General features: G+C 36.5%; 1 protein-coding gene and 1 long non-coding RNA gene across 18 annotated transcripts in view, besides 1 other annotated feature; both read left to right on the top strand.

The window, feature by feature from the left end:
• PDE4D (phosphodiesterase 4D) overlaps positions 1–27,763 on the top strand; it is a 1,553,091-nt gene that overhangs the window by 646,267 nt on the left and 879,061 nt on the right. The gene's annotated exons all lie outside the window — the stretch shown is intronic.
• Positions 636–27,763, top strand: part of LOC107986350 (uncharacterized) — a 42,415-nt gene continuing 15,287 nt past the window's right edge. The window contains exon 1 of the long non-coding RNA XR_001742414.2: positions 636–26,797. This is a non-coding gene — a long non-coding RNA (uncharacterized LOC107986350). The remainder of the gene's footprint in view (positions 26,798–27,763) is intronic.
• Positions 6,022–6,523: an enhancer, noted in NCBI's record as "NANOG hESC enhancer chr5:59165165-59165666 (GRCh37/hg19 assembly coordinates)". NCBI's record gives its function as "activates a minimal SCP1, AML or CMV promoter by ChIP-STARR-seq in primed H9 embryonic stem cells {active_cell/tissue: H9 hESC(primed)}" and the evidence as "EXISTENCE:reporter gene assay evidence [ECO:0000049][PMID:30033119]".

The following is a 27,763-nucleotide window of genomic DNA, read 5'->3' as shown; positions in this document are numbered from 1 at the left end:
TGTTTCTGTATTAATTTGCTAAGGATAATGGCCTCCAGCTCCATTCATGTCCCTGCATAAGACATGATCTTGTTCTTTTTTTATGGCTAATGCTAGAATTTTTATGACTCCAAAGTTCAGGTTCTTTCAATATATCAGATTTTAGGAACTCAGAAGAATTGAGAGAATAGTGTGGATTGGTTGGAAGTTACTAGGAAAATATGATGAGCATCAGAAAGAACACCTAAATAAGGGATGCCAGTGGGGAAAAGCTCAAGGATGGAAGCCAGAGGTGCACCATTTAAAGTGCAAGGAGGAAAAGAGGAGTCAGTGATGGGACCTAAGGAGGAATTCTCACTCTGTCCTTTTTCAAGCAGGATACAGATTCCTTCTTTTTTTTTTTTTTTTTTTTTTTTTTTTTTGAGACGGAGGTCTCACTTGGTCACGAGGCTGGAGTGCAGTGGCGCAATCTCGGCTCACTGCAACCTCTGTCTCCTGGGTTCAAGAGATTCTCCTGCCTCAGCCTCCCGAGTAGCTGGGACTACAGGCGAGTGCCATCACGTCCAGCTAATTTTTGTTATTTCTAGTAGAGATGGGATTTCACCATGTTGGCCAGGATGGTATCAATCTCTTGACCTCGTGATCCGCCCGCCTCGGCCTCCCAAAGTGCTGGGATTACAGGCATGAGCCACCATGCCCAGCCACAGATTCCTTCTTGTGTTCATTTGAAATGTGAACTCTGAACAAAGGACAGTTTATCTTGGATAGTCTTATTCCATGATTTATATATCACTAAAAGAGCAGAGAATCTGTAGATATTATAAGTGGGATCCTTAATAATTAATATATGGAAAGAGAAGCTTACCAGATACCAGGATTTTTCTGCATTGCCTGGAAAAGGAGGATATCTGCAAACTTTTGTACCCTGTGCACTTATCAGATTGGACCTCAGATGGGACCTCTGCCCCACAGAATTTCTCTTTAATGACTCATTGCTTACTGGTCTAAGAAGAAAAATAATTATAGCCTCAGGTTAGAAAAATTGAAATTGAATCATTTCACAGTCAGATTAATGCTCCATTAGTCCCATCTATATGAAAGGGAGGAGGGAGTCACCAAGTCAGGTTGGAAATTCCTTGGGATGATTGAATGTAAGGGAGAAAAACTGTGATAATTGACATAGTCAAGGCAAGAACCCAGTTCCGAAGCAAATATTTTCTTTGTGTGAGGAAAGGGTACAGTATTGCTGGTTCTTTTTTACATATAATATTACTTTGTATTCTCCCAATACTTTATTTTTTTTTAAAATGGATAAGAAATCATAACCAGTAGAGAGAGTAAAGAAACACAGGTCTATTTTCTTTAATGAATATCATCACTCTTGAGTTATAACTCTATTATCTACAGTCTTGTTAAGTGAAAATTGTTTCCTCAATAAGAACACTTTTTTATAGAAGTTGAAGTTCTCTTCTGGCACACATTAGAATTCTCCAGTATTCATATTTCAGTTTTATTCATGGTGTCAAAAGGAATTGATGTGATAAAATTTCCAATAATGCAATGAGAATATTCACGTTTGTGCAAATACCATGGAGATGTTGAGAAGTAGAGTGAAGGGACATTATGTGAAAAGTAACATCTCACTGGACTCACCAACTCTAAATCTTACTTTTTTCTTCAGAGATGAGGTCTCACTCTGTCACTCAGGCTGGGGTGCAGTGGCATGATTATGGCTCACTGCTACTTTGAATTCCAGGGCTCAAAGGATCCTACTGCCTCAGCCTCCTGCGTAGGGAGCCATCATACTCGGCCATTTTTTTAAAAAAAAATTTTTCTGTAGAGACAAGGTATCACCATGTTACCCAGACTGATCTTGAACCCCTGGCTCAAGCAGTCCTCCCACCTCAGTCTCTCACAGTGCTGAGATTACAGGTGTGAGCCACCATGCCTAGCTTAAATCTTGCTTCTTATATATGCAATTATTAACAATAGAAAGCTGTTTTGTATTACTAGATTACTTGGTTTTTCAAAATTTCAACAACTCTTTTTGATTTTTAAGAATATTGGTTAGAATGGAAGTATTGGCATAAGTCACTAGTTTTCAAAAACATACCCAGCAGAGTTGAAAGCGAATGTAAAACGCCATGGCCTGTTGATTCTATCATCGTATAGAGTATTTTTCTGCTTATGTACTTTTATTGTTTTGGTTTAGAGACATGTATGATTTATTACACCAGTATTTTAAAGCACATTCTCCCTCTTCATTTCTGCAATGTACTGTGTCGAACCAACTTCATAGGTAAAAGTTGTAAAATATTGCTAATTTCACATGGTTCAGCCTAATAGAATCTCATGCCCTTTTAAGCCTTGGAGAAGGAAAGCCTCTCATATTGTCTCCTTCCAGATTCTTGGCTCAATCCAAGCTTCTGCATAGTTGGAGTGGCAAATCCCACTCCTGCATCTGGTGAGCTGTGCAGTTAGCAGCTCTGACACTTTTCTACGCTGTTCAAACAATTACAGCCCCAAAATGTGAGTGTGGCCTTAAAAAAGGCTGATTCCATGTGACTACCAGATTGCTTCAAGATCTGCCCAGTCATCCCCCTGACTGTGTCATCCCTTAAAAATCTGTGTCATCTGGGTACAGAAAATTAGAAGAATGTTCTCTTGATCTCTGCTTAAATTTTCAGAATTTTTCCTTTGAAACCACGAACTAGAGAATTGGAATTAGACTTAATGACTTGACTCTATGTAGTATATATTTCTTTTCTCCAAACACTGTTTTGTATACATGAGGAGGGACAAGAAATGAAGGAAGGGGAAAAGTATAGCGTTTCAGCCCCAGAAAGGTACCTTTCACAATGTAAATGCAGAGTATCTGGTTAGACATAGCCATTTTGCGCACAAGCACATTCAGAGATGAAGACATGCAGTCTCTAATTGTTTCGTTGTATCTAAGAGGGTGAAAATAGAGGTGGCATATGAAAAAAACCTTCCATTTTCATTGAGCGTACCCATATTCTATGGCATTTCTTACCAGTCAGTAGGAGTTTTTTTTCCTACTGATCAGTACTACTGAATTACCCAAAGGCAAAAATATTCCCTATTGTTTCTTTGTTTTCTAACTTTGTTCTCTAGCTTCTAGGTAGATGTTAACTTTTTGGTATTTAAATGTGCACACTCCCTGAGACCAAACTGCCTCAGCAAGTTTTACTTCAATATTAATGGGCAAGATGAATATTGTTTGATGTTTCACTGTTAGCAAAAGGGAGGAGAAAGAACTAGAACTAAGTTCAATTGAACCATTACTATGCAGGGTCTATACAGTCATGATTATTATCTCAGATTCCAAATTCTGTTTACCAAAAATTATGATTATCAAATTGTTAAGATAGTAAATTTTATGTGTATTTTTACCACAATAAAAAGTTGGAAAAAATGATTTGACTATATCCAAGTTTGCAGAGTTGGTAAGTAGCTTTTTATTGCAAAAAACTTGCTGATTTGTGAAAGAACCTTCATTTCCAAATTAGGAATAATTTCCTGCAAGGAAAGACTATGCTGTGTGTGTGCCTGTGTGCTCTTGTGTGTGTGTGTGTGTGTGTGTGTGTGTGTGTGTGTGTAACTCTTCTGTTGTGAATCCATCAGTGGTTTTGCATTGTTTACAGGATAATGCTCAGAATCCATAACAAGGTCAGTAAACTCATCTATCATTTCCTAGGCATGTCTGTTATCTGATCTCTAGCCTTTCTTCTCCCATCGTCGCCAAGTTTAGTTCTACTTGACTTCCTTCACTTCCTTCCCATTGACCTAGGGAGCACCTCTAAGACTGAAAGGGAAGTCGTGGGCTTGGTGGAGTTGAGGTGGGGAATCTATGAACAGATAAATCAGATAGAAGCATTGTTTGGTAGAAAGAAGAGCTCATGAGTGGCAGTAGAGATTGAGTTAAAGAGTGGGATGAAAAAGAATCAAAAGGAAGTAGTACGATTTGGTGACCAATTTGTTAGAAGGGATGAGGGGCAGTAAGTAGTCAGTGATGACCCCGAGGTTTCTAGCTGGACCTAGAATTGTCCAACTAGTCCAAAAATGAAAAAATTTGCCTTTAACTAAGATGAGTTTGACAAAAGATGAAGTAAATTTGAGGGTGTAGGTAATGAAAACAAGTTGGCTTTTTCTCCCTTGATGGCAAATTTCAGTGTGTATGGATGTATACATTTGTGTATTTGTGTGTTTGTCAATACCCATTGATTTTTCTTAGGTTATATTCAAATACTGAAGTTGTACTAATTAAGCAACCGAAGTGTATGCTTTCAGCATGGTACCTTTCACACAGCACCAAACATCATTATATTATTTTCTATTGTAGCATAACAAATCACAACAAAATTAGCATCTTAAAACAATACACATTTGTTACTTTACAGTTTCCATGGGTCAGGAGACTGCACTTGACTTAGCTGGGTTTTCTGTTCAGGGTCTCAAAAGGCTTTAAGAAAGGTGTTGGCCAGGATTGGGGTCTCATTTGAGGTTCTGGCTCCTTTTTCCATATCAGGTGGCTGTTGGCAGAATCAATTTCTTAACCACTGTAAAATTCCTTGAAGCTTGTTTCTTCAAGGTCAGCAGGAGAAAGAAACTCTGACTTCTGACTTCTAGGCCATTTTTTGGAGAGCTAATCACTTGCTTAGACCAGACCAACCCTGAATAACCTTTGATTAACTTAAAGTCAACTGATTAAGGATGCTAATTACATTTGAACAATCCTTTAACTTTGCCATATTCCACTGGTTAAAAGAAAATTACAGATGTTGACCATCTGGGAGGAGATAGTGTAAGGGCCTGAGCTATTGGAGATCATCTTAGAATTCTGCCCACCACAATCGTGTTCTATGTTTATGCAGGTATATGTGTGAGTGTGTATTTATGTGTGTAGTTAATAACTTAAAAAATGAATTACATGTATCCCAAAACAAGCGGCAACTGCACATCCCATGCCTTCTTACTTGGATTAGTTTTTCCTGAAGTTACTCCAGGGTCCTGTCTTCCCATTGTTAGGTTTCCTTTCTGCTGTCCTGGCTTCACCTTTCGTAGCCAAGAAAGCACTAAATTTGGCTCTGAAATGTACATTTCAGTACAATCTCCCTGTCTTGGCAGCAGTGGTGAGGCTTTAGCAAATCGTTTGTGATCCCAAATGAGCTTCAGCAGTTTGGAGTGAGGCCATGGCCCACATGTTTGATGCCACCAGCCTGATTTTTGTAATGAAAACTATATCAATAAGGTAAGTAGTCCCTTCTTAGGCATGCATTCTTTTCCAATTTTATGTAGTGGTCAGTCATTCTTACAGTGATACAAATAAATATTTATGCTTTCATGTCTTTTAAGCTTTTAGCAACGTTAAAAGAAAAGGAGTCTGTAATGAATGAAATTGTCCCATTGAACTTATTTTTTCAGCTTTTGAGGATATATCGAGTGTACTTCTTAAAACTGAACATGTGCATTTGTTACATTTATATATGTTTCCACATATCACTTTGTAAAAGAATTAGAGAGAGCTTATGAAATAGAATTTAAGTTGATTTGGTATGAGCAAAATATATTGTTGGAATGAAGCAAAGGAAAGAAAGCATAAGAGCCATCATAGTTAATTCTGTTTAACTTGTTTTAACTCTATCAAGGTTGGGCCAATGTGGCAATTTATTAAATAATTTGCTCTCATTAATGCAAAAGAAGAAATGTTCCTTAGGGAAAAACATGTTGTCTTGGGTACAAAATTCCAGCAATGTTTTTTACCACATGAGACTTTATGGAAAATTCCAGATAACAGACCTTGCCCTAATGGTATGTGGGCAACAAATCCAGAAGTATCTATCATAGCATTCTTTCTTATAACAAATTTTATTAGAAGCCAAGGCTAGAATGTTGAAGCTGGACTCCGGGCAGGTGATTCAAATGCCATACTATTACTTTCCTAGCATGGACAGTTCTGGTTATTAACTCACTCTTACATAAAACTTTTAGAACCAGAGGATTGGAGGGATGCTGACATTCCTTAGATATCTTAGGTAATAATCCTGAAAATTCACTTTTCCTGAAGTTTTTGATAGCAGATAGTAAGAAAATTTCACTTTAAAACTCACTTTGAGGACCTGAAATGTTATATTCCACTTTGCTGATTGAGGTCAAGGACTATTGTTTGAACCTCAAACAAGCAGGTGGTGAGGTTCACTTTCAACTGGTAATTACGAGAAAACGAACCATTATGCTAGATGCAAGGCCACCTCATCTTGCATCCGGTAAACATGCCAACAAAAACACAAACAAGTGTCTGTAATACCTTTCAACAGCTCCCTGTTGCTCTCATTATAAATATGGAAATCCTTACCATGGCATTCAGGAATCTGCATGATCTGATGCATGTGTATATTGACAGCACATCTTGTATCATTCGTGACATCACTCTCTATTATTTGGCTGATTTTGACCTAATTCAGCACTTGGAAACCACCATACTCACTCCTGCCTTGGAGTTTTTATGCATACTGTTTCCTCTACACTGAATAATACCTCCAAACCCTACCGTCACTGCCTATTAACCCCCTACTTCTCCTGTTTCTCAGTTCAAATCTCCCTTTTTCTGATTATGTGTCTCTGATTCTCCAAATCTTGCCAGTTGGCCCTGTTAGGGACTCTCAGAGCTTACTGTAGTTTTATTTCATCCATAGCAGCTTATGAGATTTTTTTCATTAATGTCTATTAGCCAGATCGTCAGCTCCATGAAGGCAGGTTGCAGGCTTGTTTTTCTGACCACTCTATCATCAACCCAGAGCACAATAAATGAACATAAAGTGAATTCAATAAAAATGTGCTGAAAGGATAAACTACTGTTATTTACTACATTAATTACAACTTTTGTTAGCCCCTTACAAAAGATGCTTTCTTAGATGCTGCATTTCCCATTCTACAGAGGTTGAATAATATGACTATGATAGTTTTAGAGGAGATGGGAAATAGTTTGGTATTTCTTAAATTAAAATATGAATCTGTTAGAGCTAGAATTTTATTTTCTGAAAGATAATCTTGTTTAGCCAGTGTGAGAAACTACATTACACAAAGAACATTTTGCTAGTATTATTTCGCAGGAGAACTAAACTTGGTAAACTGTCGTTCCTAGAAGATTGTTTTTATCAGGCACCGTTGCCTTCTTTGAGCTTTATGAACTCATGTTTTAGGACAGTTAGACATTACTGATGGAGTTAGAGAATACTAGAAAGTGAACTTCAGCTAAAGAAAGTGATCTTTTTTCTCTAATGGCAATTCAGTTGCAAAGTTCTATTTTTATTCTAAGGGGCTCATAGAGGGTGGTCCCCAGGATTCTCTTAGGGGTCTGTGAGACCATACATATTTTCATAATAACACCAACATGTCATTTGTAATTTTCACTGTACATTTTCTCAGCAGAGTTCTCCAGAAGCTATACAATGTGATGCATATTATTTCATAACAGATTGAATACGGAAGCAGACATGAGAACCTAGATGTCTTCCATTAGGTGGCACAAATAAAAAACATTGTCACTCTTCTCACAGTTTTTTGGAAAATAGTTATTTTTACCGAAAATAAATTTATTATATTTTTTGAAAATGAATTAGTAAATAAATATTTATAATTGTCTCAGTTTTAAGATGGCAAATATTCCACATAAACAAGAAATCTGTGAGTCTTCAATAATTTTTAAGACTATAAAGAGATTCTGATACCCAGATATTTGAGAATCACTTCTCCGAGCCATTTTATTGACACAATTTTACTTGACTTTGCAACCTGACCGTTTTAGATACCTTTTCTTTCCAGTCTTTTCTAAAAGATCAATTGATTAATTGGGTTGACTCGATGATACAAGCACACGATCTTCAGTATCAAAAGATACTCATGACCAGTAAACCCCTCTTTAGTTCTCAATTATCCAATTCCCTTTCCTGGAGGCAACTGCTACTCTTGTATTTCCTAATGGAGATCTTTTATGTGTTTACTCAAATGCTAAGACATAATATATCATATTCTGCTTCCTGCTTATCTTCCCTAATGATATAGCAAGGAGATTGATTCCTAACTCTGCATGCAAATCTGCCATAGTGCTTTTAGCAATTGCAGTATCGTCCATGATCTGGATGAGACATAATTTCACCAGACTCCTGTTGGAGTCTGTTGGATTGTTTCCCATCCTTTGTCACTACCTACAGTGTAGTGATGACTATTCTTTTACTTATTTGTTCATGTAAAGTAAATATATCTCTAGAATTAATATTTGGAGGTGGAATTCCCAAGTCAAAGGAAGGAAATACATATTTTTTAAAAGGATTTTAGTAGATTGTTCTGAAAAAAATTACACCAAACTTACCCTCACATGACTATTTTTGCTTTTTCTCAGTATACTTTTTAATAGATTGCATTATAAAATTTTAATATTTACCATTTAAATAAGTGAAAGCAATGTCTAATTGCAGTTTTAATTTTATTTTTATTAAGGAAGTTAATCTTTTTTTTTTAGCTGAAGTCGAAAAATATGTTCATCTCTTTTTCATTGAAGCTCATTAGTTTCCAAAAATGTGTCCTCATTTCATACAAAGTATCTTTGAACCATTGCCAGGTCATAGAAGTGACTCTTGAAGATCTTCTTCTCTGGGATCAAGGGTCACATCTCGTTCTCCTGGCTTCATACCCTTCTCTCTCTACACATCTCAATTAAGTAAGCTTCCTTTCTTATCCTCTGAAATTATAATCATCTTTAGGCTCCCAGATATAGGTGACCTGTGCCATCTAGTCTGACTTCCAGTTTGCAAATTATCTTCAAAAAGTGGAAACAGCTTTTACTTTCTACTTTATAAATTCATACGTGCTCAGGAGGACTTTTATTAAGATTGGGACATATTGCTTAGTTAGTCTCTAGGGTGGAATCATAATTAATGAAAGAACTCTGTCTGATGGAAGGCTTAGTCTAACAAATCATCCTAAAACTTCATTAGACATTGTGTAATCCCCATGGACACTGTTGAAGAGACACTTGATTAGGCAGATCGTGACAACTTCAGCTTTGCCCATCATACATCCTCCAGAGACTCCTCAAACTCAAGACAGACTTTCTACAGGAAGGAATGGCTGTTTCTATTTCAGAATATTACTGATACCAGAGCTTTGCTGCATCTTCATGTACTTTCCTTTATTTTTATTTTTATTTTTTTACAGACAAAATCTTGCTCTGTTGCCCAGGCTGGAGTGCAGTGGCATCATCATAGTTCACTGTCACCTCAAACTCCTGGGCTCAAGTGATCCTCCTGCCCCAGCCTTCCGGAGTGCTAGGATTACAGGAGTGAGCCACCACACCCAGTCTTCATGTACTTTCTTATGTAAATTTATTTTGTTTGAGATTTTCTTTGTGATGGAATAAGCAATTCCTTCCTTAACTCATTTCCCGAGACATTTTTGGAATTTGCAATATATATGAAAAAGCACTTATTCTCAGTGATGGAAACACCATTATTTCTTTTACTAGAATGTGATCTTCTGGTTTTAATATTTATGTCTCTGTGCCAAGGTGAAAATATTGTAGAAATGAAAGTATAATGAGAGAGAATCCAGATAATAAGATTTTCAATAAACAAAAAAAGAAGTATGTATAGGAGTCCTGTCTGCTGCAAATTTTAAGAATGGTTTTCTGTCAACATACAGTTGTCATTGCTTACTGAAAACTTCTATAAAAAACAAGACACAAATGATTGAGAAGATAGTAGAGACTGAAACTAGAACTGTTGATTTAATAAGCTTTCTTACTCATATACTTAATCCACAGTAAATTATTAGCAAATTACATTTTCATAGTATTTCAGAATTAAAAGATCATAGTCAGGGCTTAAAGGAATCCAGTTGTTTTAACAGTGCTGGAGGCAAAGCGTTCTAGCAGCAATCACCTGTCAGAATGACTTAGGTTGGATTGTTTGCACCACACACTTTACTATAGTTACATGTCTTTCATGTCCCTTTGTATCTCTGACTCAGTTTCCTCATCAGTGGTAATAGCAGAACTTACATTTTAGTGGGAGGATTAAAATAATGTACATGAAATCAAATATATAAGTCAGCACTCAATAAATAATAGTTTGTCATCATTATTACTATAGTAAATGACCACTATCTGAAATGGGATATAAAAAGGAAAGTGAAATTACTAAATAAATATGAGCGTACAAAGACCTGACAATTTAGATACAATATACTCACTCTGTCTCAAAATAGTGTCTTCTGAAGCTTTAGTCAGAATATTATGGTGACATTTCTGCTAGATTTGTCATTGAGTTGCTGGGTTTGGGGAAGAACCTAGGCTACACATTTCTCTTGGCTCTACAAAAGGCTGTGGCAGTGGGTCCCTGAGTAAACCACCAGAAGAAACCTAAGGGGCACCTCTGTTTTTCAGTTAATCAGTTTTAGCTCAACTGGGATTTAATCCTGAAAATCTAAATTACATTTACAGACTTTAAGTTATTGTGAATATTTACACTACATGGGAGAATTACCAAAATATATTCGTTACTCATACAGTTTTCGAAAAACAGGTGAGACATCTTCCAGTTAAATTCATCTTCCTTTTATGTTTAATCTATTGAAGAATTCTAAACATTGTTTTGCACCAAATTGCTCCCTTAAGTTTTAAGAGCCACCTAGTTTGGGCATCAGATGTTCTCCTTTATTTCTGTAAAAATCTTGCAAATTCACTCCCAGAAAGAAATGTAGAGAATACTAGGCTATTTCACAGAAAAGGCTTGCTGCCCTTTCCTGATAACAAGGTAGTTATTATTCTTGGCTGAGCCTGTCCCAGAAAGAGTCTTAGGTGACCTGGTGTGGGAATTGCTAAATCTCAGGCTACTCACTGAGACTGTCTGCTGCTGTGCTGGGCACTGCAGTCCTCCAGAGCAGGCCTGTCAGCATCCTACCGTGCTCTGAGTAGGTCCACTGGGGAACCTGGTGGAGTGACATCATGTATCAGCCTCTAGCAGCAACTCCTCTCTGTAGCCCCATGTCTTTCCTGTGGTACAAAGGAACAAGTGCTACAGGGCATGTCTGTAATCGTTATCCCAAGGGCACGCTCCACAGGCATCTAAGGGTGAAAGGTACTGCCAGTCTGTTGGGTTTGTTATTTCCATAGAGCTACACAGGAAATAACACCACCAAAAATAACACATTCAAACTCAGAGGGCAATCTTCCCTAACTATTCATAGGCACACGTCAGGCATTCTATACATATACCCAGCTCTTTGCTAAGCATAGTGAAATGCCCTTTTACATTGCAATTAATTATTAGCCAACATTGAATAATTATTGGTGAGAGGGTAAAGGGCAAGTGAAATAAAAATAGAGCTGGTTTATTTTTAGGAAGACACTATTTTAATGTGTTGATTAATCAGACAGGTGTTTAAAAGCATTTGTTAGAGTCAATTCACAGAAAATCTCTTTTACATGCAGGTTACAGCCAAAGAAAGAAATAATAGCCAACACATTTACGATTTCAATTGCAAAAATTGTCATATTTTTGAACTTGTGTGGGTATTTGAAAATATTAGCTCCTACTAGGTCCAGTTAAAGCTTTTAATTCTATAAGGTTTCAGACTACCAGCTGACCACTGCTCAGCATCCCCTGGACTCCAAGGGTTTCATCTAAGACATCTAAGGAGAATGTCTACCCGCACATCGCACTAATGCCCATGACTGCACTGCTTGAACCATGAGGTTATTGAACAGAAAGCAAATCCTTTTCTGAAGAGCCTCCAAGATGTGGATATTTCAGTTAATTTCAGCTCCCTGCCAGCTCAGAAGAATGATGCTGTGCTGTGTGCTGTTCCCATGAATACTACACGCAGGGCACTGCTCAGTGACTCAGCCTTCCAGGGAGCCAGTCAGGGTTTTGAAGCTGCATCGTCCCTTTCATCCTTGAAGTTCTTTTGGATTTCATCAATGGCATGGAGGGATATTTTTAAAACAATGGAGATTTTTCAGGACTGGCAAAAGGGCTCCCCTCGTCACAGTGCCAAAACCATCACAAACATAAGTTATGTTAAAAAAAATCCTAAACTAAAAATATCTGGTACTTAGGGAACTAAAAGACATCTCATGTTTGCTATCATTTCCATCAGAGCTCAGGTCAATGGACAGAGATCAATACCAAAACAAACATGCATACTTAGAGCATAAATTCAGATAAATGCTGGAGAATTAACATGTAGATAGAAGTACCATCATGCCTAAAACAAAAACTCAGTCCAATGGTTGTTTCAGTGAACTGACTAGCCTTCATAGAGAAAAGTTTATTCTTTTCAAACTGAAGTTAAAAGATATTCGGTGCTTCATTCGAAATTTTCTATTTCATGATTTTTGAAGTAGTGATTTAGAACTCTTTAGGACTATAGAAAATCATTTTTCTTCTAAAATGTTGTCTTAGTCCTAAATTAGAAAAAAAAATAGTAAGAAATTAACAAAACAAAAAGTTAATAGTATTATTCACATATATAAATAATGGGCCATCATGGTATCTGATTTTGATAAAAGGAAAATATACTCTGGGATTATTTTTCCAAATTCTGGCACTCTATTTATGAGTACCTAGACAGACACTAGAGTCTCATGGAATTTAGTATTAGAAATGCTACTTTGGAGTACATTTGATGTCATTCAAGTTAAAAAATTAAGGAAGTAGATTTTCAAAATAGGTAGCATAAAATGTAAAATTATTGAATGTTGGAGCAAGAAGATCATCTAATGCCCTAGCAGTTCTTAATGTTGCTTGGGTCATGGATCCCTTAAGAACACGATAAGAGTTTACCTTCTTCCTCCCTAGAAAATATACTGCTTTTTCTTTTATAATTAAAACAATAATATGAAAGTTAATCTTAGTCCAGAAGTCCTAATAGCCCAAGAATAGAAATGTCAAATTCATCTCATATCATTAGTTTGTAATTTTCCGTTGCCCTTTTAATTCCAATAACACAGAAGCTGTAAAACTGCTTGTCATCTGACTTTTTATTTGTCATTACCCAATTGAGCTTCTTATATTACAGATAAGGAAATTGAGGCACAGAGATATTAAGAAACTTTTCCGCAGGAAAAAAAATCTGCTAGTTATTGAGCTGGGATTCAAATTCAGGTAGCTGATTCTAGTGTGCATGTGCTAACCACAGCACATACTGTGGCTAACCATGCCTACACTCATGCTCAAAACTACGCTGTGATAGGTCTTATTAGCATCCCCATTTTACAGACGTGGAGATTGAGGTGTAGAGTGGTTAAGTGACCTGGCAAAGGTGGCAAAACTAGCATCACAGTCAGCCAGTCTGGTTCCAGAGGTAGGAACTAAACCAACACACTGCCCTTCACATGCCTGTGTGTGAGTTCGCACACCCACACAATACATGAATTTGTACATATGTATCTTAGAGGTCAGGGTAAGCTGAGGATACGCATGACAAATGGGATTAGATATGACTTTTTCCTTCTTTCTTTCTTAGTTTTCTAATTATTTTGTTTTAAGCAAGCATTATTTTGGAATAAAAATTATAAATATTATTTTTAAAAAGCAAACAGGTTGATAACTTAAAATGTGTTAGCTGGTGAAACGTCCAGCCTTATGGAGTAGGCCCCTGAGGTATAGAAATGGTTTTGATGGCATAGGATGTAGCCTTGGGAATGTCCTGGAAGAGTAGGAGCGGCCAGTTAGGCATTAACACTCAGGAGTAAGGAGACTGCATTTGGGATGCTCAGCTGATTGGAGGGTGGTGTTGAGTGGTCCCCTGGGCAGTGAGAAGAGAGGCCAATAGCACTGGCACAGGAGGACAAGCAAGTTGTTCTAAGTAAACTCTCAAATGAACTGAGAGATAAAAACTCTAAATTTGGACTGCTTCACAATTTGCCTAAGGCTGGCCCTACTCAGGCCTTTGCCAGCTGTTGTTTTCTTTTAAGCCTCTGATCTGCAGGAAAACAGTCCTGATTTCACAAAGCTTTAACAGAATTTTTATAAACGCAGATTTGGGGCTCCATATCCACAAAGTTTTCCATCCTTTATTTTGAGAATCTGCATATTTAACAATGATCCTCCCCAAGGAACTGCAATGCAAATGTCCAAATACAGTCCTTGGTAATATGTGTTTTCACAGGGTGAAGTTTTTGTCCAACACTGTGAGATGAGAGCTGGGGGAAAAAAAATGAACATTAACCATAGAACAGGAATGCAAATTTTCTGAAAAGTAGAGCGCTACTCCTCTCCTCTCTTTTTCTCCATATAATTGAAGAGACACTCAAATTGATTGTTTTCCCATTGTTTCGAATGGTTGCTCCATGTAATTACTGAACTGAACTGGTAGTTTGGGGGGAATAGGGGAAATTCAGAGAATGTTGTGTAGAAGTAGAAGTCTACCTATGTCAATGACCTATTTTAGCATTTTTCTCTATTAACTGGCTAACAATTCGCTTGGAAACTCCTCCAGCTGAGGCTTTGTTAGGCTTTGCTGAAAATAAATTAGGTGACTCATTAAATTGTTGCTGGAGTTAAAAAAAATTAGGCTTATTGATTCTTAAATTTCTGCTAAAAATGTTGCTAAATTAAATATAGGTTATTGTCTTTATCAAAACAAATAACCCACAGCTTCTGTATTGCTTTATCTGTATTCAAAAGTTTGGGCCGGGCGCAGTGGCTCATGCCTGTAATCCCAGCACTTTGGGAGGCTGAGGCGGGTGGATCACCAGAGGTCAGGAGTTCGAAACCAGCCTGGCCAACATGGCGAAACTCCATCTCTAGTAAAAATACAAAAAAAAAAAAAAAATTATCTAGGTGTGGTGTTCGGGTGCCTGTAATCCCAGCCACTTGGGAGGCTGAGTCAGGAGAATCGCTTGAACCCGGGAGGCAGAGGTTGCAGTGAGCCAAGGTCGTACCATTGCACTCCAGCCTGGGCAACAGAGCGAGACTCCATCTAAAAAAATAAAAAATAAAAATAATTAAAAAAAAAAAGTTCGAACAACAAGGTTATGTTAGCATTTATCAGAAACTAATGATAATTTATGTGGTATTAAGTAGGGTAGTATCTTGAATGAGAAAGAATACTGTAGTTTGGATTCTTTGGAGGACCTTCGGTTTATATTTTATTTGCAATTATGTTTATGCTTATTATTTCTGCTTACTTTGTGACTAAAAGCCAGTTAAATGTGATTCTCAGATTTCATTTTCAGTGTTTTTATTAGAATGTGGTCTTTTAGGATTTAAACCTATTTTCATCTTGCAAGTATATATTTTAAAAGTGATTCATTTAAATATTCTGCTCAGCAATTAGCACAAATGTTGTCACTAAATTATTACAATAGTAGCTATTAACTTCAATAAGTAAAATAACAGTTCCCTATTGTATAATATATTTAGAAAAAAATCACTTAGTGGGGTGCATGTATGTGGAACAAGGTGAAGACTACCTATCTCATCACAGAATTCCTCAATTAAGAAGAAAGTGCTCTTAATTACATCCAATGGCATCATTTTCATGAAGATAATCAATAACAAGTGACTTATTTCAGTGTCTCAAATTTTCAAGTTTATGCATCCATCTACTTCACAGCATCCATCTCCATGGGCCCCAGGCTGATTCTTGTTATCCTTGCTCAACCTATCCATTCTCACAGTAAAAAGCCATGAGAGCCATTATTTTTTAGGAAATGTGACCCATTATCCCCAAATCACTGGGAAAATCACCTTACTCGACGGGTCCTTATAGCTATCCCTAATATCTTGTTGATTTCTCCTTTAACCTTTTTACTATGCCAATGAAAATGGAGCAATGTATAACTCAATAAACTCCAATTCAACTGTCAAATATCCCTTTCTTCCCAAATTCTGTTTAAGAGTCTGTGGGCCTCTTCCAACTACAATCCCTGCACACCCATCCTTAGCATTAGCCATTGTACTTTTAGAGGACCAATTTGTAAACTTGATCATATCAATCTTGAAATCTAGGAACAAAGAACCAAACTGATAAGCTCTTATATCCACACTCAGGAGCTCATCTTCCCTGATTACCTTGGGCTCCAAGTACCACTTTCATGAGTGCCTCACTTGTGTAGAATCTCACCATGGTACAGCTCATCACACCATTTTATTATCCAGCAGTGGAAATGTAAATTCATATCCTTTTAACACTCACAAAAGGAGTCAATTTCAGTCAATTTTTAGGAAATTTGGTGAAAATTTAGTTGGTTATTATCCTGTTCTTCAAAAAGCACATCATTAGACATACTTTTAAAAAACCAGAGAATAATCTTACCTTATAAAGACAAATGACACATGTTGCTATGAGTTTAGGGGAGGGTTACTAACCTTATTATCATGTGAACTGTTTGGAATTACCTTTGAACCCTCTATACATGGATTTCTGTCGGAGGCCTAAGAACTCCTTGTCAGGAGAAGGAAATGGTAGAAATCAGATGAATGGTGAAGTATGACCATTAGAAACCACCCTCTATACACCTACACTGCCTATTTTTACATCAAACATAGCGAACTGTCCTTTAGGAAGCAGAAAAGGCAGAGCTGAGGAAATGAGAGGCACCTCTCATGTCTTTAAGAAAACAACTAAGTGGCAATTTCTGGAAAATAGGTTATTGTTTGTCAGGTATTAGCCTGAAATTTTGCTTGAATTGTTTCTCCCTAGGAAATGAAAGATGTTCACTTCTTAGTTGTTTTGGAAAAACAAATACTTACTAAAGATTATAATGGCTATCAATTTAAACAAACAGATGCTTTTAGTGTCTTTGTGAATAACACTAGTGAATTTGCAAGAATTATTGCTTTACCAACAAAGCATAAATTCCCATGTTGCTTCAGTACTTGTGCAGTGTTTGTTCTGGAGCCTCTATTCAATATCAACCAGCGTATAGTAGTTCCTCCGTGAGAGTCTCTTGTAAAAACTTACATTCATTCTTGTTATTATTTTATCTGAGTGAATATTTGACAAAGACCAAAGAAATCCCCTTGAGACTGGTACCCATTTTCTCTAATTTGAAAGATATTGACTAATTTTGTTAGATCCCACCATGAAGGCAAAAGGAAAATATATTAGCTATCACTGTGGCTTAAAACAAGAAATTATTTATTATTTTTAACAAATCTGAGGGGCAACTGGTGTTTGGTTGATCTATGTTGAACTTATGGATAGTTATGTGAGTGTCAGATAGAATCAGACATCTATGTGAGCTGGCGCATCTCCATTCCACATTCTCTCTCATCTTTCTTCTGGGACTGATGAGCTTGCCTGGGTGTGTTCTTCTCGTGGAGATGGAAGAGGTGGAAGAAAACAAGCCCAACACAAAAGCACATTTTCAAGTCTCTGTCATGACAGTTACTGACATCCCGTGAATGAGGGCAAAGACAAGCAGTGGGGCAGGTCCTCCCACCCTTGATGGGAGGGCTCAGAATGAATACATAGATGCAAGGAGTAGGGATTTGGGGCCAGATGATACATCCTACCACAGAGAGGTAGGATACAGGGAAATTCTAGGCCCTCCAGTCCCTTTGCTCCAAATAATCACCATAGTTGAGACTTGAACTATGAGAGCATCAAGTAGGAATGCCAGGTGAGCTTCAGCTGCTGCCCAAGTGTCTAAGAACACTCATTCACCTCTCAGATACTCACATACCTATGAAATGCACCAATTTTATATCATGAGCCAAAGTAAAACTCAGAATCATTGAAATATTTGTCTTTGCATAGAAAGAGTCCCATATGGAAACAACCCAGCCTACCTGCTTGACTTCCTGCCTGCCTGCATGCCTCCCTACTCCCTCCCTCCCTCGCTACTTCCTTCCTTCCTTCCTTCCTTCATCTCTCCTTCCTTCCTTCCATTCTCCCTACTTCCTGACTGCCTATGTGCTTTCCTCCCTCCCCCCTTCCCTCCCCCCTTCCTTCTTTCCTTCCTTCCTTCCTTCCCACCTTCCTTCCTTCTGCTCTCCCTCCTTTCCTCCATTTCTCCCTCTCTCCCTTATATTTCTTCAATTCTTATCATTTGAGTATCTAGTTAATGAGTTCTCATTTGATGTTATAGATTTTTTTAGCTCTTCCTCACCTGTATTCCTTGGAGTAAATTTTATGAATCTTAGAAACAGAGTCTGGCTGATAAATTTATTGGTGCATCAAACTCATTGAGAAATGTCTTCCAGTTTCATCTTCCAAAATGTTACTAGTTCTAAAGGTAGTGGTTGATAGTTCACACAAAAAAATCAATACTGATTCAGAAATAACTTGCTCATCAGGGAAATAAACCTGGAAGGTTTTAGTCATAATTTATTTATAATCCCTCCCTTTGTGATATTCAGAGATGAAATTTGAGGTGAAAAAATTCAAGTATTCTTTTTCATATATTTTGAAAATATAAGAGTCTTTGATGTATTCTGGGAGCTAGCATCTTGAAAAGAGGAATAAAAAATGACTTATCTGGAGTTAGGAAGGTGCTAGTCCATCACCCATAAACCAGTTAAAGAGATAAAGGTGATTTATCAGAAAGTACAACAAAAGTGATAACAATAGAATATTATTCTCCATACCAAGCAAGTTACAGGTATCCCCTGCTCTGGACAAATGCGTGATGTGTAAACCCAGATTGACCAAGGGCATAAGGGAGATGTAGATCTGTAGCTTTAGCACACATGACCAAGGTGGTGCACTTGGTGTAGGCTCTCGGCTGATTGCTGACTTTGCACACTTGCGGGGCATTTCATGAATCTAAATTCGGGAATAAGATTTAGAAGCTGGCAGATGACGAAGAGATTGTTTGGGCAACCAGGACTCTTGTATGTGACATAATCAATGCTGAAGTTAGTTCATCATCCCATTCCTTGTATTTCCAAATCTGTGATGCTTAGGGCCTTATCTAGTGCCTTTTACCAAGTGGGTGGGTTGTAGAAAAAAAAGGACTAATACTCATTTTCTTTGAAATATAAGCTTTTGAAAGAATATTTTAAAAAGAGGACTAACATTTTAGCTTTCATGTAAAAGTTTGAAAAAATGCAATTTCAGTACTTGGAAATGAGCATTTTAAGACTCCTTGTTGACTTCCCTTGTATTTTAATGCATTTCTAGAGAGATGTCTGCTTCTGCATTGCTTCCCCATGATTTACTTCAGTTGAAAGTTCAGCCAGATCCATTATTTTCTTTCTTTGACACATTATGCAAATTAAATGCAAAATTCAGTGATGAGAGGAAAAGGTCTCAGAGCATTGAGCAGATGCCGTGTCGGTAATAGAGTAAGGCAATTACAAAATTACTTGCAGCCACTGTGACTGTGTATTTTCCCGTATTCTGAAAAGAAATCTGTCATGTGCTCATCACTACGAGATTTATTTTTCCATTGATGTGTGGGAGATTTATGCATTTAACTGTCGTACACATTGATGAGAGAAACATGCACCTACAGAAATAATTTTTTATAGATTAGTGAGATATTTAATTCTGACTTTCTTTTCCACTAAAATGATCCTTTGTAATAGTCTTCTCTTCGCCTGTATTGTAAGTATGAACATCAGAATGGCTCAGTAAGCTGGAAGAGCAAAACCATGTCTGTGTGTAGAATTCCAATGCCAAAAGAGAAATACCACTTATCTTCCACTTCTATAAATAAAGGCAATAGCAAAGTCATTAACAAGAGCAAGGGGTGAATTCAATGATCTCTAAGATTTTTTTCCAGCTAAAAATGATATGATTCTTATCTATTACTAGGAAATAGTGGTATTGAAGTAGAATTATGAGCTCTACATTCAGTCTACTTTTCACATCGGATTGTCATCTCATTTTTGGAGGGTAATTCTCTTTAGATTCTCTAGTCCTAAGCTGTAATATGTCTTATAGTTGTCATATTTTAGTGAACAAACCAGAAAAAAAGATTGCCTGCATCATATGTAATTTTTGTTCAATCCAAGGGCAATATCGTAGAATACTTGACTCATAGTTTAAAATGATCATTTTTATTGAGTTCAAATTAAGTCTTCTGTAGATATAATAATTATGTGAATCAAAAATATGTATTTGTGTGAAGAAATGCTCTTTCTTTTCAGGCTTGCCTTCAAAAAAAGTTAGTCTCATACTGAATGGCAATAATTTCTTCTTCCTGCCTCCTAAGAATACATTGAGGATATAAAATTATGAGACTAGAATGCTCTTATTTCAAAAACATTCACAGTAGGCATTGGCCTGAGCAATAATTGTGAATGTTTCATATTTAGAGAATGGGTAGATTATTAAATATGAACTATGAAAATTTCTACCCTTCTGGTTTTTCTGTGGGATATAATCCTCTGGTCTTAAAAATTAATTTTAGTAATGGATTTTCACAAGTTCCCTTGGAGAGCATGCTTGGAACATTTTTGTGACATACACTCTTGAGGTTTTCCTTCTAAATTTCTTTTCATCACTCATTTTGACTTTCAGATTTCTTAAATATTTGTTATTACGTGTATCTTTGTAAATAAAAGTGAGGCTTAAGAAGTTTGACTTTGTTTTAGGATGGAACCTTGTTAAAAGTACAAGCACACATGTGTTGACAGCAGCTAGAGGAAGCGTGATAGTGTGGAAAGAAACAGAAGTCCAAAGACCTAGGGGTACATCAAGTTCCATTATTTAATTGTCATCTTTGTCTTTGCTACTGAAAGTATGGTCCACAGACCATTTGCATCAGCATTGCCAGGGAGCTGGTTAGAAGGGAGAATCTCAGGCCCCTTCTAGACTTACTGGATCAGAGCCCGCATTTTGGCAACATTACCAGGAACTCATATACACACTCAAATTTGCCAGGCTCTGAACTCTATAATCTCCAGCATTCTGATTTCTCCAAGTCCCTCCTTTCTCATCTTTGAAACAGAGTAATTTCTACCTCACAAGTCTAGTCGAGAATTAAATACAAACATGTAAAGCTGCTGTGTTCGGTGCCTGGCATACATGGCTGTCCCCCATTCCTGCCAACACACACCTTCAAGCAAGACAACTTGAGAGAGGCTGAGTGGGAGAGAGGGTGAATAAATGTTAATAACTCACATTAGAGTTGGCATTTTTTTTCTTTTTACTTGTCTCTATTATATAGGGTGACTGTATTAATTGTGCAATACCTTTGCTTTTAAATAATACTACTGGGATAAAAGTGAGATTCTAATCTCACATATTATTTCAAGATAAGGTTCAGATACAGAGTTTTAAAGAACCACCTATAAAAATCAAATCCACATAAATTCAGAGGAAAATATCCTCAATGCTTATATAATATTGGATGTTTAGGGTGATACCCTCTAAGCACAACTTCAAAGGAAGAAATCATTAGGGAAAATACTGACATATTTGAGTACATATATGTTTTAAAATTTAATTTACTTGAAAAGGAATGAAGATAATTAAAAAGGAAGTCACAAATTGAAAAAAATTATATGCATAGACAAAGAGTTGATAAATTTAACATAGAAACAGGTTTTACAAGACAATAAAAGGATAAATGTAATGATTTTCAATAGATATAAGACATTAATAGGTGGGCATGTAAAAAATGTCAAGATAACATGAAAAAATTAGTTTTACTACTCATAAAAGACATGCAAGTGAAAACAACCAAGATGCCATCTCCAGTCTATCAGATTTCTCTAAAAATGAGAAAGCGCTCATAACCAGTGAAGGAGAAAAGGATCTGCTTTCATCTTGGTTAAGATATACATTGCAACAATATTTATGGGAAATTCTTTGGCTATATCTATCACTATGAATTTATGCATACATTTTTCACCCAATAATTATACTTTTGAGAAGTTATCCTAAGGAATTAATCTAAAACTGAAATGATACATGTTCAAAATTTTCATTAAAGAAAACCACCAAACTGTACCATAATGGGAACTATTCATAAATATGTAAATTATGTCCATATGATAGAATACTAGGCACCCATTAAATCATGTTGTAAACAATATTTTTATTGAATTTTTTAATTGAAACCAAAAAAGAGCAAGATAAACTCAGTATACATAGCATGTCATTTTTGCAAATGTGTATGCAAATGTGTAACATGTATATTTTTAAGATTGGAAGCTGGTACACTAAAAGTGAATGTTAATTCTGGGTTATGTTTTTCCCAAATTTTTGCCTGTTTCTGCCCTGCCTCTTTGATTTTAACATTGAGCATACATTTATAGTTTAAAGACTGTTAAAAGTGGCACTTAGATATAGCTTAAAAATAATTTTAATAGCACAGGGAAATTATTTTATTAATGCTAGTTAAATTAGACGAAAATATAAAATTTTAATGGCAGAAATATTTCAATTTATAACATATGCATAGGAAACTGAAAAGAGTAGTTAGCTCTAAATATGGGGATTATGGATAAATTTTATATTCTTCACTTTTTTATTTCAAAATTTTTATAATTAGCTTTAGGATTTTTATAACCAGAACAAATTACATTTAAGACTCCCTTCTAAACTTATTTGCTTATTTTCAATCTCAAATTGTGAATTTGTATGGCCTCTATATTTCCAATCTAATTTTACAGACATTAAATTTCTCTTGAAATTCAGTGAAAAATTAGCAGAGTCGAAGTTACACTTCTGTATGGCATTTAAATTCCTCCTCCCAGAATACAGCCACTGTTCTACAGTACAGAGGAGTCCTTCATATCACGATTTTCATTGTGTCTAAGAGGCATGTGTTTCCACTTTGTCATTATTTGGTCTAAAAGGATTTTTCTTCTATTTTGCTGCTGTTTTTGTACAAGACATATAAAGAAAGGTGTTAAGGGAGTGTTAAATATAATCAAGGTGTTAAGGAGAAGAGCCCAGAGAGAGAACTCTTAATCTTTTCATCTGGTCCAGTTGTCAAAGTCTTTTGTCTTTAGCCATCACTTTTTTAATCAGAGACATATAATCTATTAACTATGGGAACAAGAACCACAGATTTAGCCTGTGCTTATCTGGAAACCTCCCCTAAAATACTACTGAACGACTCTTTTTTTTTTTATTCCTGTCTCTTTTTCTGTTGCAAACTGATTGTCCACTATAACCTGGAGAGGGGACTCAATTTTTAGAAACTGTCTTATACACCTCTTAATTAGTTACCTATTGCTGCATATACCCAAAATTTAGCAGCTTAAAACAATAATGAAATTTTATTATGCCCACAGTTTCTTTAGGTCTGTAGTAATTTAAGAGAAACTTAGCTGGGTGATTATAGCTGACTCTCTCATGATATTACAGTCATATACATCAGGACTGCATTCTTCTGAATACTTGACTAGAGCTGGAAGATTCACTTCCAAGATGGCTCCCTCACATGGCTGGCACATTAGTGCCTGCTGTTGGGGGGAGACTTCAATTCTTTGTTGGGTGGTCTTCTCCATGGGGCAGCTTAAGGATCTTCATGGTTTGTGGGCTGTTTCACAAAGTGTGCGTGATCCATAGGAGATTAAGGTGGAAGCTGCAATGTCTTTTATGATAGAGCCTCAAAAGTCACACAATGTCATTCCCAACGTATCCTTTTTTTCACATAGGTCAGCCCTACGCAATGTGAGAGTGAGGAAGGGACTACAGAAAAGAATGAATTCCCAGAGATGAGTAGGATCATATTGGGTGCCATCTTGGAGGCTGGCTACCAGTGAAGAAGACTGCTTTCTGGCCCTCAGTGATTTACTTCCATCTCACATGCAAAACATACTCCCTTTATTGTGGTTCCCAAGAGTCTCATTCTATTATGGCATCAGCTCGAAGTCCAAGATCTTATCATCTAAGCCAGGTGTACTAGTTTTCTTTGCTGTCTAACAAATAATTTAAAAAATGTAGCAGCTTAAGATAACACCCATTTACATGTCACACCTCTGTAGGTCAGAAGTGTGGGCAAAGGGTAGCTGGGTTCTTAGCTCGAGGTTGAAACCAAGGTGTTAGCCATGGCTGCGGTCCTTATGTGGAGCTGAGGGTTCTCTTTCAAGCTCATCCAGGTTGTTGGCAGAATTCAGTCACTTGTGACTGACAGACTGGTGTTCCTAGAGACCACCTGCCATTCTGTACTGCGTAACCCTCTTCACAATATGGCAGTTTACTCCTTCAAGGCCAACAGAAGAATCTTCCTACTGCTTGGGTTCTCTGACTTCATTTGACCCTGACCTCTAAACCCAGATTTAAAGGTTTTATATGATTATATCTGGCCCACCAGCAAAATAGTCCTTTTTATTAACTCAAAGCCAGCTGTTTAGTAACCTTAATTATATCTGAAAAAAACAGAATCAAAGGAGTGGTATCTCGTAGTATTCACAGATTCTATCCACACTTCAGAAGTGGAAATTACACAAGGCCTGAACATGAGGAGATGGGAATCTTAGAATCTGTCTAACATACCAGGTCTATGTGCAAATAAGATCAATCTCTGTTAGTTTACTCTTATGGGGTAATTAATTACCCCAAAACTTAGTGGCTTAAAACAATAGCATAACTAACTTCTCAGTTTCTATGGGTCAAGAATTCAGAAGCATCTTTCTTCAGTGGTTATGGCTTTGGCACTCATATGAAGTTGCAGTTAAGAAGTCAGTCAGGGTGATAGAAATATAAAGGCTTGACTGGGGCTGGAGGATGTGCTTCTAAGGTGATTTACTCACATGATCAAGTTGGTATTGGCTGTTGCAGGCAGGTCTCATTTCTTCCGCAAATGAAATGCTCTCCAGGCTGCATGAGTGTCTTCATAACATGGTTGCTGATTTACATTGGATGGAGAGATCAAAGAGGATGAGAGGAAAGCAGCAATGTGTTATAGGACCCAACTTCAAAAGTTACACATCATTGCTTCTGCCCTATTCTGTTGGGCAATCCTGATGCAATATAGGAGGCACCATGAATAGCAGGAGGCAAATATCATCTGGGCTTTCTTGTTAACCTCAGTTAACAACAACAAAACAAATATTTAAAAAACTAAAGGAAAGAGATTTCTGGAATATTTCCATTCTCTGTCATGCCCACTGCCATAGTCTACTCAAGTTCTCATCTCCTATTGGACCTCTGCGGTAGCTTTATAAGTCCTGTCCTTGTTTCCAATGTCATCCCTTTCAAAACGCTTCAAATAGCCTCCTTAAAGCCATGACTCCTCCCACGGTTATAACCCTGCAGGTAAAGGCACTTGAGGACATAATCTGTACCATCTCTGGCGTCATCCCTTTCATTCCCCTTCACCTCCCCCAACTATTTTTGTATTTCAGTCATGCTGGACCTCTTAATGTTTCCCCAAAACATCCTAAGCAATTTCACGTCTCTATGCCTTTTCTTTTCCTGTTCTCTTTGCCTGAAATAAGAACGACAGATAATAGTGACTATGCAAGTCCTAAAATCGAGGCAGCCACAGTGCTAAATCACACATTGGATAGTTCAATTTTATTCTTATAACAACCCTTTGTGGTAAATCTTATTACCATGCTCATTTTACAAATGGGCACTCCTAACCCGATGTGCATAATGATTAAAAACATAGACTCAAGAAAAGTTTGGAGGTTCTGGCGTAACCCTCTTTGTTATTCTCTATGCAACTAGCTTAAAAATAACAACTTTGATTATTCTAATCTATTAACCAGTTTTCAGTGTGTCTGACCAAATCAGTTGAATTTTATTTTTTTAAATATGTGTGTGTGTGCATGTGTCAGTATGTACGTGTTAAAGAGTAGAGGGAGGAAGTTGAAAATCTGACATTTGATTTATTTCTCCTGGGACAAAGGAAGTTTGGATATGTCAAACTGCTGGCTAATCAACACGTTAATCAATGCAAATCTCTAGTATGGATATAGTTATATTTTGCCCCCCTCTTCCTTTCCAAACTTCTTTCCAGTCTCATGACCAGCTTATTGGCTTCATATTACCAAGTAAATATATCAACTGCCCATATGTATAGTACCCAGACAATGAGAACACTGCCTAAATATTGTGTTTTCAATACTACTTGCTTTTAGCAACAAATCATAGCACCCAGCCTAACTTTAAAAATTCCATGTCATCCAACTTCAAACTATAACAAAAATTGAGTTTTACAGAAGAGTTTCAAAACATTTTTATGCATTAGACACTTCAGAAATTATCTCTTAAAAACAAAACAAAATAAATAAGGGACAAAAACAATAGAAAACGTCAGGCACCAAACTGTGAACTCTCTTTTGTCCATGTATGATTTAAAAAAAAAAAACTCACTGATGGTAATTTAAGAAATTTGACCTTTAGGAAAATCAGGCTGAGGCTCATCTTTGTACTTTTTAAAACAAGTCAATAAAACATATAAATAATAGAGATGAGTGCAGCTCACAGGGGACACTCATATTTTCTAGGAGCCTGTGGATATAAACAATGAATTTCATGAACACAGAGCACATTTCTACATGATCTCCTTTTCTTTACAAGTTATTTATGTTTTACTGGAAATATTAAAACTTCATGTCTCTTTGTTGCTCTTGTTTCTTTAAATTTTTATTTTTATCATCAGTCATTGTTCAATAACTCAAAATCATATAAAATAAAACAGTTTCAACATCATTCCGTACTCAAGATGATCTCTATTAAATAATGATTTTTTTCTTGAAAAAGCATTCTATAATTTTTTTTAGTTTTCCAGATGACTATTTAAACCAAATGTTTAAATGAATGATTAATGAGTCTTTTATCTTATTTATCCCACCTGCCTACTGCAAAAAGACATGAATTTAATACATTTTAGATTTTAAACAGTTGTATATCTGTAAAAAAACAATTTTTACAGGTTTCATATTCTGGACACTAGAAAACACTTCCTCCTCACAGCGCCGAGTTGTATGAAAAGGCAGCTCAATTGTCTTTCCTTGAGCAGCCTTGTGTGCCTGGGTATTCCCTTCCATCTCTCACCCATGGAGTTCATATTCCTGTTGTCATGTCACCACCTCAGTCAACGAAATAGGTTCTGCCATTTCTCAAATTTTATGGAGAATTATCCTGATGAGTTAAGGCAGAGGTTGAAAACTTGCAGCCCTTACCCCGGTTACGGATTTTATTTTTAAAACCCAGTGTTTTTGAACACTTTACAGCTGATATTTCTATTCTAATGGATGCATTATCTTCTTTTAAAAATACTTCCTATATTAGCCCTCTTAAGGGGTATGAAGTGGTGTCTCATTGTAGTTTTGATGTGCTTTACTCACTCTTAATACCGTTATTATAGGTTATTTATTGTTAAAACTGTGATATATTTTCCTTTATTTTCTACATATACATAGATACATGCAGTTTGATAATCTGCATTTAATCGCATTAGAAAGGTATTTTGCTATGTCATTAAAATTTTTTTGTGAACATCATTTTTAGTGGCTGCAAAAACTTACATAAAGACAGACATGTCCTAATATATGTGTGTGTATATTTTAACTAAATATTGGCACACCAAAAATAATGGATTTAATGCAACTAGCAATGATAATGCTCAAACAACAGGAGTGCTATGAAGACAATGAAACAGGTGAGTTGTCAGAACACCTTCTGTCATTACATTAACTTTTTTAAGCACTAAATTCACTTGAAATTACAATAAACAAGATAAGTACAAGCATTAGATAATTTGACCTATCAGATATCCCAAAGGCATAAACTATCACTAGAGGGTCTTTTCTTTATGCAATTAGGTGACCAGTGACTCTTATTTTTTAAAGCTTTTAAAATAAAAAAATAGCTTTAGGGATAAAACCAGCCAGATTTT

The sequence above is a fragment of the Homo sapiens genome, chromosome 5 (assembly GCF_000001405.40).
Source record: "Homo sapiens chromosome 5, GRCh38.p14 Primary Assembly".
Classification (NCBI taxonomy): Eukaryota; Metazoa; Chordata; class Mammalia; order Primates; family Hominidae; genus Homo; species Homo sapiens.
The sequence above is the reverse complement of the archived record's forward strand: the minus strand, read 5'-3'. Positions and strand labels throughout refer to the sequence as shown.